At 47.0% G+C, this 12,236-nt stretch overlaps 1 protein-coding gene and 1 long non-coding RNA gene across 2 annotated transcripts in view, besides 8 other annotated features; one reads left to right on the top strand and one right to left on the bottom strand.

The window, feature by feature from the left end:
• ITGB3 (integrin subunit beta 3) overlaps positions 1–12,236 on the bottom strand; it is a 59,917-nt gene that overhangs the window by 22,643 nt on the left and 25,038 nt on the right. Inside the window, exons 3-9 of the mRNA NM_000212.3 lie at positions 7,552–7,747; positions 6,406–6,658; positions 4,679–4,841; positions 3,870–4,031; positions 1,325–1,420; positions 827–916; positions 13–147 (exon numbers count right to left, since the gene is read on the bottom strand). Coding sequence (NP_000203.2) covers positions 13–147; positions 827–916; positions 1,325–1,420; positions 3,870–4,031; positions 4,679–4,841; positions 6,406–6,658; positions 7,552–7,747 — 1,095 coding nt within the window. The remainder of the gene's footprint in view (positions 1–12; positions 148–826; positions 917–1,324; positions 1,421–3,869; positions 4,032–4,678; positions 4,842–6,405; positions 6,659–7,551; positions 7,748–12,236) is intronic.
• Positions 2,264–2,558: an enhancer, noted in NCBI's record as "tiled region #4395; HepG2 Activating non-DNase unmatched - State 20:ReprD, and K562 Activating DNase matched - State 5:Enh". NCBI's record gives its function as "activates a minimal TATA promoter and a strong SV40 promoter by Sharpr-MPRA in HepG2 and K562 cells {active_cell/tissue: HepG2 | K562}" and the evidence as "EXISTENCE:reporter gene assay evidence [ECO:0000049][PMID:27701403]".
• Positions 3,952–4,001: an enhancer, noted in NCBI's record as "active region_12309". NCBI's record gives its function as "activates an Ori minimal core promoter by ATAC-STARR-seq in GM12878 lymphoblastoid cells {active_cell/tissue: GM12878}" and the evidence as "EXISTENCE:reporter gene assay evidence [ECO:0000049][PMID:35858748]".
• Positions 4,412–4,701: an enhancer, noted in NCBI's record as "active region_12308". NCBI's record gives its function as "activates an Ori minimal core promoter by ATAC-STARR-seq in GM12878 lymphoblastoid cells {active_cell/tissue: GM12878}" and the evidence as "EXISTENCE:reporter gene assay evidence [ECO:0000049][PMID:35858748]".
• Positions 4,792–4,841: an enhancer, noted in NCBI's record as "active region_12307". NCBI's record gives its function as "activates an Ori minimal core promoter by ATAC-STARR-seq in GM12878 lymphoblastoid cells {active_cell/tissue: GM12878}" and the evidence as "EXISTENCE:reporter gene assay evidence [ECO:0000049][PMID:35858748]".
• Positions 9,990–10,490: an enhancer, noted in NCBI's record as "H3K4me1 hESC enhancer chr17:45357977-45358477 (GRCh37/hg19 assembly coordinates)". NCBI's record gives its function as "activates a minimal SCP1, AML or CMV promoter by ChIP-STARR-seq in naive H9 embryonic stem cells {active_cell/tissue: H9 hESC(naive)}" and the evidence as "EXISTENCE:reporter gene assay evidence [ECO:0000049][PMID:30033119]".
• Positions 9,990–10,618: a biological region, named in NCBI's record as "Sharpr-MPRA regulatory region 4923".
• Positions 10,324–10,618: an enhancer, noted in NCBI's record as "tiled region #4923; K562 Activating DNase matched - State 8:EnhW". NCBI's record gives its function as "activates a minimal TATA promoter and a strong SV40 promoter by Sharpr-MPRA in K562 cells {active_cell/tissue: K562}" and the evidence as "EXISTENCE:reporter gene assay evidence [ECO:0000049][PMID:27701403]".
• LOC107985029 (uncharacterized) lies at positions 10,839–11,576 on the top strand. The gene is made up of 2 exons (XR_001753127.2): positions 10,839–11,132; positions 11,245–11,576. It is a non-coding gene; the product is annotated as an uncharacterized LOC107985029 (long non-coding RNA).
• Positions 11,584–11,953: an enhancer, noted in NCBI's record as "active region_12306". NCBI's record gives its function as "activates an Ori minimal core promoter by ATAC-STARR-seq in GM12878 lymphoblastoid cells {active_cell/tissue: GM12878}" and the evidence as "EXISTENCE:reporter gene assay evidence [ECO:0000049][PMID:35858748]".

The raw sequence follows: 12,236 nt of genomic DNA, 5'->3' as shown, positions 1-12,236 counted from the left end.
AGCCCACCTCACCGTGTCTCCAATCTTGAGTCCCATACAAGACTTGAGGCCAGGGATGACCTCATTGTTGAGGCAGGTGGCATTGAAGGATAGAGACAACTCTTCAGGGAGGTCACGCACTTCCAGCTCTACTTTAGAACGGATTTTCTGAGCAGAAAGGGGCACAAGAAGACAAGAAATTGAACTGAAAGGAAACGGGAAATGGCAAGAGCCAGTTCCATCCCAAGCCAAATCTGGCAAGTAGCTCTGGACTCACCCCAGCAGTGCCAGAGGCCAAGGTTTGACCTGGAAGCTGCCGGAGCACCCCTAGGACTCTGTTTCCTGCGCAGGAACCTGCTCCCTCTTTCCATCTCCACTTGCGTCTAGGTGAGTCTGGGTAAAATGTACCAGCTACACCCTCCTGCAGGCCTCACAGATGTTGCAAAAGGGGAGTGCCAATACTGGTCACCTTGGAAAGTGGCATTTTCTACCTAATGTTTCATCAACCTCACCTTCCCCATGTCTCAGCTCTCTCTTTTCCCTGTTATTGGAGCCCAGTTTTCCCTCACTCTGCCCCCACAATTCCAGGGCTCTGCTCCTTCTCCATCTAATCACCATCCCCATCCCCATCTTCTTTCCTTCTTTCTCTCTTCCTTCCTTCCTTCCTTCCTTCTCAGAAGGCTGCATCCCTTCTAGAGCGGGCCATTGCCTGGGCTCTGGGAGCACACGGAGAAGGCAGTAAGACCGTGTGGTAGACTGGCAACTGGGACTCACAAATCTGAGCCCTGCTGTGTAAGCCAAATGAGGTGGACTCTCCGCGGGACTATTCCCAGCACAAGACACTTACCCCATAAGCATCAACAATGAGCTGGAGGACATTGCTGGAATCCATGGACAGAACCCCAACTGTGGTCCCTGGGATGAGCTCACTATAGTTCTAGAAAGGAAAACAAAGATGTCCAGAGCTTACCAAAGGAAGCTGGTGGTCTCCAAAAGCCCTCCCCAAATCCCACTGAGAGTCCTGAGATGAAGATTGGAGGAAGGTACGGGATATTTCAATTGTCACTGCCAGGAATATATCTAGCAGTTTTTCAGCCCTGAGCAAAAGTAGAGGAAACCTCTCACACCCCTCACCACCTCCCCTCCACCACCACAAACACCAACACATACCTAGTAAGTTCAAGATTGCAGGAAAAAGGCCCAGAGTGCAATCTTTAGCTCCTGGGGAGTGGATTAGGGGAGACTCTTTCCTGATTGGGGACTGTATCCAATGCTAGCACAGGCTGGCTACCTGGGGCACCCACCATCACAGGGCCCACTCCAGGAAGCCCGAAGGCACAGTCACCTGATAGAGATTGACTACATTTTCAGTCACTGCAAAGATCAAATTGATGTTTTTCTGGGATAGCTTCTCAGTCATCAGCCCCAAAGAGGGATAATCCTAGGAAAATGAAGGATGTAGAGGTTAATGACGTCTCATGTACATCTCTAGGGTCTAAAGCTTAGAACTTATCTTGCTTGGGCTGTGGCTCAGAGTGTGGTGGTGCTTAAACCATTTCACTTCATGCTGAAAGTGAGACAAGAGCCTGGGCAACATAGCAAGACCCCATCTCTACAAAAAAATTTTTTTTATTTGCCAGATGTGGTGGTAAGTGCCTATAGTCCTAGCTACTGGGGAGGCTGAGGCAGGATCACTTCAGCCCAGGAGTTGGAGGTTACAGTGAGCTATGATTGCACCACTGCACTCCAGCCTGGGCAGCAGAGCAAGACTCTGTCTCTAAAAAAAAAAGGGGGGTGACAGTGAGATAAGAAGGGTAAGTAGCACAGAAGTCTACTTGTGAACTCCAGGGATAGACGAAGAGGTACAGGCCAGTGGTGTCAAAACTAAGCACCTCTTTCTTCCTGCTTGAATTTAATGCACTAATACTATGGAGCTGCTTCCGTGCACAAGGGACTGGGTTAGGCCTCTGTTTTGGAACTACTGACAAATGCCTTGGCCTGGCCCTCGTGATCCTCCACCGTGTGGTCTCAGTCTTTCTTTCCAAATATTGCTCACCTCTCTCCCTCTTCCACTCAGCAGTGATCTGGCCCACTGTCTCCCACCTGGAGTGGCCTTCTTGTTGGTAATCCTCCTCCTTTCTTAGGGCCTAGCTTAGCCCCCACCTTCTTCAGGAGACTTCCTTGGCCATCCCAGCTCATGATGACCTTTCCTCCCTTGGATACGTATAGCCACATTGGCTGTGCCACACCCATTTGGCACTAATCATGCATCTTGTGTTATTGTAAATATATATATCCTTTCTCCTCAAGTAGACCAAAAACTCCCCAAGGATAGAACCATACATAGTCTTGTTACCTCCCTCAGCCCCTGGCCCAGTGCCTTGCATAGATTAGGGGTCAAATGTTGCTGACTCATTGTCTGGTAGTGCTTGACTTGGATATGGCTGACACCAAGGAACTCAAGGACACTGTGCGGGGGCGGTGGTGAATCGTGAACATGTCCATGGGATCCTAGACCTTGCAGGGAGCTCATTAGATCCTCAGCTCAGTCTCCTGCCTTTACACAGGTACACCTTTAAGTCACCTAGATGAGGAAGTTGCTATATTGTCCTTAGGAGACGAAGAGTTCACACCTGCCCCAGATACCTAGAGCATTACAGCACATTTCTCTTATGGCTTATAGTAATTTCTCCTGATTCAATTTAAATATTTTCCTCTTGTTTAACCTTCTATGGCCATATAAAACAACTTATAAGAAGTTTTCTCATGTATAAGCTAAATCATCCTTTAGCCTTCTTTCTTTCAAGCTAAATGACTCTGGCCCTTTAATCTTTCCTCGTAGGACCTGTTCACCATGCCTTTTATGTTCTTTCCCCTCTTTCTCTCTCTCTCTCTCTCTCTCTCTCTCTCTCTCTTTCTAAGAGAAGGGGTCTCCACTAGGAGCAATGGCTCACACCTGTAATCCCAGCACTTTGGGAGGCTTAAGAGGGCAGATTGCTTAAGCCAAGGAGTTTGAGACCAGCCTGGGCAACATAGAAAGACCCTGTTTTCAAAAATTAGCTGGGCATGGTAGTGCATGCCTGTGGTCCCAGCTATTCAGGAGACTGAGGTGGTGAAGCTTGTGAGCCAAGATTGCACTACTGCACTCCAGCTGGGCAACAAAGCAAGACTCTGTATCAAAAAAAAAAAAAAAAAAAAAAAAAAAAAAAAGCAGGGGTGGTTCTTGCTCTGTCACTCAGGCTGGAGTGTAGTGGCAAGATCACAGCTCACTGCAGCCTCAGACTACTGGGCTCAAGAGATCTTTCTGCCTCAGCCCCACAAGTAGCTGGGACCATAGGCACAAACCACAACACTCAACGAATTTTTGCATTTTCTTGTAGAGGCAGGGTCTCACTATATTTCCCAAGCTGGTTTCAAACTCCTGGACTCACGTGATCCTCCCACCTCAGCCTCCCAAAGTGCTGAGATTACAGGCATGAGCCATCATATGCCTGGCCAATCTTTCTCTTTTTTTTCCTCTGTCTTCTTCCAATAACCACAAGTTAGTATGGTATTCCAAGAAAGGGCTAATCAGAGTGGAGAGGAAGACCTGCTTTCCAGCTGGGTTGTAAAAATCCTTTGGGTCCATTCTGGATCCCATGATGCTGCTGCTATGCTGGTGACAGTGAAGGCAGTGATAACACCACAATCAGGGACATCTCTAATGGTTATATAGGTTGTATGCTGGATGACGGTGTCCAGTTGGTAAGGGATAGGGGCAAGCTGGAACCGAGCCCTGCACCCTGCCCAGAAGGAGGGGCTGCCATTTTCATATTCACACAGACTCTGCCTAGATTAGGGCAACCCTCACAATCATGAATAGAAACCATAGGTGGTGCCAGAGATCTCACCATGGTAGTGGAGGCAGAGTAATGATTGTCACTACCAACATGACACTGCCCGTCATTAGGCTGGACAATGCCTGCCAGCCTTCCGTCCAATGCTATATGAGTCTTGGCATCAGTGGTAAACACCAGCAAGTGGGATGCATCATTCCTCCAGCCAATCTTTTCCTGTTAAAAGAAAACAAAAAACAAAGGCAGAGGAGACAAAACAAATTCAGCCATGTCACTGGTAGAGAACAGAGACCCAAGGTGCTCCCTGGCTAAAGGGCTGGACAGCTTATTTTTCTTCAAAACAAGGGTCTCAGTCCCAGTCCTTGGAACCGAAGCTGAAGCTTTCCAGTTCAGGAGTTTCATTCTCTTCAGAAAACAGTCTCATAGCTGATTAGTTCAAGCAGCTGAATGAGATCTTCTTAAACTCCAAACTTAACTCTTCTAATGACAGTCACATTGCTCATCTAGAAACTGACGTGCATCCACAGAGCTGATCTGGGCTAGAAGAAATCTCATCTGAACATCTGCCTACTTTGCTGAGGTTAAGTTAACTCAGCCTTAACTCTGAAGTAACTCTGAAGATGGGAAGATGCTCTCCCCTGGGAACATCTGAGACCACTGAGGTTCAAAGAAATGTCAGCTCAGGCCAGGGAGTGGATCTAAGCCAAGGCTGAATATCAGGAGCAACTTACTACTCATAACTGCAGGAAGCCCTGCTTAGTTCTCATCTCATTTTACACCAGAAATCCCCAGAGTTCAGTCACTTCCTTTCCCATTTTGATCTATGCCAGCCACACCTGGCACTCCAAGTCCTCCAAACTCACATCACAGACTGTAGCCTGCATGATGGCATCAAAGCCACCCTCTGGGGCATCTCGGTTCCGTGACACACTCTGCTTCTTCACTTCCTCATTGAAGCGGGTCACCTGGTCAGTTAGCGTCAGCACGTGTTTGTAGCCAAACATGGGCAAGCAGGTGGTCTTCATACTGGGGAGGGATGGGAGATAATTTAAGCAGACACCTTCATGGAAAAGGCAGCATGGGAATTGGGAGGAAAGAGAGGGGACAAATATAGATAGTGGTATGCCAAGGCCAGTTCCATACAACCACAGTTACCCAGACAGTTCAGACTCCAAAATCCTCAAATTATCTGAAGCTCCCCATCAACATTACCCCCATCCAGCTAACCTAGAAGATAAGAGATTGAGCTGGAAACAAGACTCCCTGAGCTTAGATCCCAGGTGCCCTCTGTACTAGTCATGGGACCTTTGGCAAGCCTCTCAATCCAACCTATGAAAGAGGGGCCAGGATAGCACATATCCCATAAGAGTTGTGAGACTTAAGTAAGTTCATACACACAAAGCACTTAGACCAGAGCGAGGCTCGAGTTGCTATTACTATCACCTTATACTTAACACTTTCCTAAAGTAACAATAAAGCAAAAGTCCATCAGTAAGTTAAGGTCCCTGAACCATCAATAAATTGATAGATCATGCAAGACAGGAGCATTTCTGCCCCCAGTCAAAATAGTGTGTTTAATTAATAGCTGATGTCTTGCCTGGGAACCTTACAACCCAGATAGAAGGTTGAATGCCACATCATATAACTTCAAAACTTTTTCTTTTTTTTTTAGAGACAGTTGTGCTCCATTGTCCAGGTTGGAGTGCAGTGGCACAATCATGGCTCACTGCAGCCTCAACCTCCCAGGCTCAATCAATCCTCCCACCTCAGCCTCCCTGTAGTCCTGGGGACTGCAGGCATGCGCCATCACACATAGCTAATTTTTTTGTAATTTTTGTAGAGATGGGGGTCTCACTATGTTGCCTAGGCTGAACTCAAACTCCTAGGCTCAAGTGATCCTCCCATCTTGGCCTCCCAAAGTGCTGGGATTACAGAAGTGAGTCACCCCACCTGGCCGTAACTTTGAAAACTAAAAAGTAAATTCACACCTTTTCAGGCTCAGCAACCAGCATTGTAAGTTATTCTAATACATGGATTTGCACAGTCTCCACCGATTAAATAAATAAGCCATTCAGTTTTAAGCCAAAGTGTCAAACAGAGGCACAAGTTATCCATTTACAGACTATAAAAGTGTCCAACAAATGTCATTTCCACTCTTTTATATTCCTTAGCACTTCATTTCTTCTGTTTTCACCCTGCAGGATGCACGGCCTTGATGAAGACAATAATGCCAACAATGGAATCGATCCTTCTGTAATCGTAATTTCTCGGTTTCCTTATCCATAAATTTCTTTCTACTTTTGACGTCATTTCCCTCCCATTCTCTCTTGCCTTCTATTTATTTGTTACCAAGACTGAGAAGCTGATGAATTTTCTTTCTAGGTTCTCCAAACAGCCTTAGGCTCCATTGACACAACACTCCAGATCCACAAGCTAGCCCATTTGCCAAACAGGGAGACCAAGGTAGAAAGGAGCTATAGTTTGGCAAGAAGACAGCCAACAAAGTGATCCTAGAGCTAGAAATAGGAACCAGGACTTGGACCTTCCTGGGGCAAAGGATGCTGTCCTGGCGTCTGGAGGAGGGACTTACTCATAGCAGGGGTTTTCGAGGGCCTCTGGTGGGGAGATATACATGTATGGTGACACAGGCTTGTCCACAAATGCCCCGAAGCCAATCCGCAGGTTACTGGTGAGCTTTCGCATCTGGGTGGCCAGCTTGGTACCCAGGTTCTGGATGCTCCACAGATCATCCTTCATGGAGTAAGACAGGTCCATCAAGTAGTAGATGTCCACAGGGTAATCCTCCACCTGCCGCACTTGGATGGAGAAATTCTTCGAATCATCTGGAAGGCAGAAAGATGTTAGTTTTTATCTTCTTCTCCCACCAAGATTGAATAAGCAGATTTGGATACAGTTGGGACTAAGAAATTGCATGATCAAAGCAAACCAGAAAGCCCTGGTCCCTTTTCCTCTTCCTTTGCAATTCTATTACTCTTCTAATCTCTTGACCCTCCTATTTTTAACCTCTTCTTTTCCATTCTAAAATTTTCCACTTTCTCTAAATCCCAGGGGATTTCTAATCCTGTGAGTTCCACGGGTCTATCACTGTGAGTCACAGAGATTTTGATAGTTACTACACTTCAGACTCTGTAAAAGACAGAAACTGCACCCTACCCTTCTCTGAATCCCATTGCATCCAACACATGCCTTGATAGTAGGTAAATCCTTCTTGACTTAGTTGGAAAGTCAAAATCAATGCTTCAAAATTTCTGTCTTTAGTCTAACCCTTCCTCCCTCTAAAGGTCTTGTGTACCTATTGTGTCTGCCCCCATTCCCCTGTCCCAATTCCCCATGAAAGGGGGGCTTACAAGTCGCTTTCTTGTTCTATATCTCATTTGCACCTCAACACAAAGCTCTAAGCTAGGTAAAACAGGCACTTGGGTAAAGAAGAAACAAATATTTTTTGAGCACCTACTATGTCTGAAGGGTTAAGTAACTTGTCCAAGGTCAAATAGCTAATATATGATACAGTAAAGATTCACCTCAGATCTTCTGACTCAAGTCCTAACGTCTCTTATTTTCTTCCATTCTCTTGCCCACACCTCCCCCCTCATCCTTGTCTTCCCACCCCATTTCCATTCTGAGCTACTTCCCCAAGACTTCCTCCTCAGACCTCCACCTTGTGCTCTATGCCCACCTGCTTCAGGTCTCTCCCCGCAAAGAGTCCCAGCCCTACCTGGCCGGAGCCGGAGTGCAATCCTCTGGGGACTGACTTGAGTGACCTGGGAGCTGTCTCCAGAGCCCTTGTCGCTGAGGGGCCTGTCCTCTAGTACTCGGGCCTCACTCACTGGGAACTCGATGGATTCTGGGGCACAGTTATCCTTCAGCAGATTCTCCTTCAGGTCACAGCGAGGTGAGCCCAGAGGCAGGGCCTGTAAGACAGGAGCCCAAAGAGAAGTCCAGCAATCAGAGCTATGGCGACTCTCTACCTCCTGCAGGCCCTACCACTTCCCAATAGCTAAGAGTTTACCCCGTACATTGGAGCATAAACAAATTGTTGTGGTCTTTCCTGGGATAATCCCTTAGGACCGTTGTACAGAAAGGGGAAATTGATACTTTGGGAGGCCAAGGCATGAGGACTGCTTGAGGCCAAGAGTTCAAGACCAGCCTAGGCAACATAGCTAGACCCCGTCTCTACCAAAAAAAAAAAAAGGAAAAAGAAAAGAGAAATTGAGATATCAAGAAGGCCTATTCATGGAGTTGTAGCTAGAAGGAGAGCCTGTACAGTAAGATGCCTGGTAGACCAGCATTTTTTAACTGTGGAATACCACACATTTGTGGGTCCCAAAATCAATTTAGCAGGTGTCAACCATCATTTTGTTAAATAAAATACAATAGAATAGAATAGAAAATATGAAAGTGTACAAATAGTCAAAGGGTTGTTTTGTGAAATTCTTATATTGTTGGAGGAGAGTGGAGAATAACACATATAATAAATAACTATACCCAGTACAGTGTGTTTCTTTCTGTAGGTCAGAGTCAAAACAGTTTGGAAGCTACTGTATTTGACACGGGCTAGACTGTGAGATCCATGTAGTCAGGGACTGTGTGTGTCTTGGCCCCTCTCATTTCCCAGCATCCGACCTAGGACTTACCACAAATGTGATAGGGAAAGGCAGTGTAAGGAGGCAGGAGAGAGTCAGGGCTAAGAGCACAGGAGTAAATCTCAGCATTGCACTTACAACTGCTTACTAAGGCAAGTCACCTAATTCCTCCAAGCCTAGTTTCCTCAGCTGTAACACGAACATAATAACAGTCCCTCCTTCAGTACTTAACAGCAATCAAAATCATAGAGTCAAAAAGTAGAATAGTAGTTTCCAGGGACTGGGAGGAATAGAGAATTACTGTTTTGATGGGTACAGAGTTTTAGTTTTACAAGATGAAAAGAGTTAAGGAGATAGATGGTGGTGAGGGGTTTCATGACATTATGAATGTACTTCATGCCACTGAACTGTATGCTTAAAAATGGTTAAGATGGGCCAGGCACAGTTGCTTATGCCTGTAATCCTAGCACTTTGGGAGGCTGAGGTGGGCAGATCACCTGAGGTCAGGAGTTCGATACCAGCCTGGCCAACCTAGTGAAACCCCGTCTCTACTGAAAATACAAAAATTAGCCAGGTGTGGTGGCGTGCACCTGTAGTCCCAGCTACTTGGGAGACGGAGGCAGGAGAATCGCTTAAACCTGGGAGGTGGAGGTTGCAGCAAGCCAAGATCGTGCCACTCCACTCCAGCCTGGGTGACAGAGCAAGACTTGATCTCACAAAACAAAACAAAATGGTTAAGATGGTAAATTCTATGTTATGTATATTTTCCCACAATAAAAGTTACTTAAAATAATAGTAATTATGGTACCTCCCTCACAGGGATGTCACACAGGCTAAATAAGACAATCCACATAAAATGCATTGGACAGCACCTGGCACAGAGGAAGTCCTCAGCAAATGTAAGCTATTACTATGAGATGCTTGACAAGTACTTCCTGGATAAGCTAATTATGAATAAACTCCACAAACTTGGGAACATGGGCCAGGCACCTAACCAGAGCCCATCCTATCACTTCAGTGTCCTCCTTCACCCTGAACAAAGAACAAATTGAGTACCCTTCCAAAAACCCACGGCCCCCTGGGGCTCTGGGTGCTTAAACCTGAGTATTGAAGGGGACCACGCCACCCTGGAAAGAACACTGAAAATCAGGAAAGAAGATCAATCCTAGGCCTGCCACTGACTAGTCATGTGACCTCAGATACGTCATTTTGTGTCCTCACCTGTTCAACAAGGCCTTTAGATGACACAGTGTTTTCAGTCCCTTCCGGCTCTGACATTCAGCCAATTTAGCCAACACTGTGTGGGTGCATGTCTATGAGGGCTCCTTACCAAGTTGAGGGGACCAGCCAGGAAGCTGGAAAACCCCTCCCGGGACCTATTTCACAATGTCTAGGCCTTCGGGCTCTCCTCAACCCCACCCCTACCCACATCCCCAACCAGCACTTCCAAATGTCTGCTGGATAACCCACACCAATATCCCAGAACAACTAGTGTTGACATTTATTGAACACTTACTGTATGTCAGGCACTGTGGTGAGCACTTTACATGGATTATTGCAATATGCCTGACAGTTCCATAATGCTGGAACTATTATAATTTTACAAGGGAGAAACCTAAGGTTTGGAGGCTTCACAAATAAGGAACCCAATCTTACAGGTAAGGAATCTGAGGCTTGGATAAATTAAGGAATTTGCTCAAAGTTGCAGAGCTAGGAAGTGGCAGAACTGAGAGGCCAGCTAGATTGTCTGACTGTAATTATCATCATAAAATAAGCTTTACTACATTCCGTATAGAGTGAGAGTCAAGGCACGGAAAAGGAAAAGTGTGGAAGGAATGGTCCTAGGGAGGAGCCACAACAGAGAATGCCCCAGGTAGGGAACAGGATGCAAGGTGGGCATGTGCGAGGGATGGAGAAGGATGGATGACATCTGCCTCCTCAGCCCCCTCAAGCAACCTGGCAGCCATAATGCCAGAAGAGGGACTGGGCCACAAGGAGCCATTCATACTCAAAAGCCCTGTAACCGGCCGGGTGCGATGACTCATGCCTGTAATCCCAGCACTGTGGGAGGCCGACACGGGTGGATAACTTGAGCTCAGGAGTTCCGGACCACCCTGGGCCACAGGGCAAAACCCCGTCTCCACTAAAAATACAAAAATTATCTGGGCATGGTAGTGCACACCTGGAATCTCAGCTACTCAGGAGGCTGAAGTGGGAGGATCACTTGAGCCAGGGAGGCGGAGGTTGCAGTGAGCCAAGATCACACCACTGCACCCCAGTCTGGGTGACAGAGTGAGACCCCACCTCAAAACAAAAACAAAAACAAAAAAACCCTGTAACCCAAAACCCTTCCCAATGCTTAAAGTCTCTCTCCCTCTCCAGTCCGATCCCCCTTTCATGGGCTGAAGCCTTCCCCACGTGGATGGGGACACGAGCAACATCAACAGCATGAGGACTACCCTGGCCCAGGCAAGAAGTAAGTAGAGTTTCTGGAAGCCAGCAGCTTCTCTCTTTCTCTCTCATCTTCACAGGTATGCAGGCAGGGAACCAGCCTCGGCGATGGAAATCAATGAATAAGACTTAACCTTCCTGGTGGCAAATACTCCAACAGGGACATCACAGACCTTCCACAACTCTGAGGAAGATGAAAGTCTCCCGTGCACCCAGCTCTGGCTGAGGACGGAATGACCTGGGGAGAACTTGGGCACTTCAGGTTTTGTGCCCAGACTCCTCCTGTTGTCCCTGCCCACCTCTCCTACCCCTTCCTCCTCTGGAAGCAGTCTTTCTCTTGCTCAAAAAAGCCCCAATCCTATCTCTGATTCTAGCTGCCCACAAAGCCCCAGGGAGAAAACCTTCCCAAAAAGGCAGTGGATAAATCAGAATGCAGTGAGGAGCGGATCCTTTCCAGGACCAAGACAGATGCTGAAGAAGACAGCAGGGACCGGAGCCCAGCAAACTGGATGAGAGCAGCAAGGCCTTCATGCATCTTCAGGCTCCATCAGCAGAGGGAGAGAATGCATTAGACGGGAGTTTCCTGACTCCTATTTTCTAATGTGGCAGTCCTAATGAGAAGAGGGTTTGAAGCGCTAAGATGTGCTGACAGTCCTAATGGTTTGTTATGAGTTTCCTTAGAAAAATTAAACACTGAAAAACAAAACTGCCTCCCTCCCTCCCTTTGTGGTTGCTGACATCAGAGGTCAGGAATATAACAGGCCTGCTCGTCAGCCAAGCTCTCCACGAGAGCCCTCTGTTCCAGAAGAGCACCAAGGCAGTGACCTCAACATACTTGGGCAACATTCCCTTTCTTGGTAACCCAGGCTGAGAAGGTAGAAAGAATGTCTCCAGGTTATGCAGGAAGAAAGCTAGAAGGGGGAGGGGTGGATATTAAAGTTTCAGTTCCCAGGGAAACCGGATGTTACACAAAAAGGGCAAAAATAGCCAAGACCCAGGGGAAGGGCCTGAGCACAGAGGTGGGAGGTTCCAGCCAGCGCCCTGCGAGCTGGCTGAATTACCTCCCTCTCCTGGGAGGGTGACACACGCTCTTGGTACCATTCTCCATTAATCCCATTTTGGAAATTGGGAAAGTACAACATGAATAGTTGTCATTATCCTGCCTATTTCACAGGGTTGGTCAGGAAGTAAAAGAAGACTGTGAATGTGAAATGCTTTCAAAATATAAAAATCTCAACATAAGTTAACTATACTGAAATCCATTAGGACAGAGGTTCCCAACCTTTTAGGCACCAGGGACTGGTTTCAGGGAAGACAATTTTTCCATGGACAGGGAGGTGGGGATGGTTTCAGAATGAAACTGTTC

Source organism: Homo sapiens, chromosome 17 (assembly GCF_000001405.40).
Source record: "Homo sapiens chromosome 17, GRCh38.p14 Primary Assembly".
Classification (NCBI taxonomy): domain Eukaryota; kingdom Metazoa; phylum Chordata; class Mammalia; order Primates; family Hominidae; genus Homo; species Homo sapiens.
The sequence above is the reverse complement of the archived record's forward strand: the minus strand, read 5'-3'. Positions and strand labels throughout refer to the sequence as shown.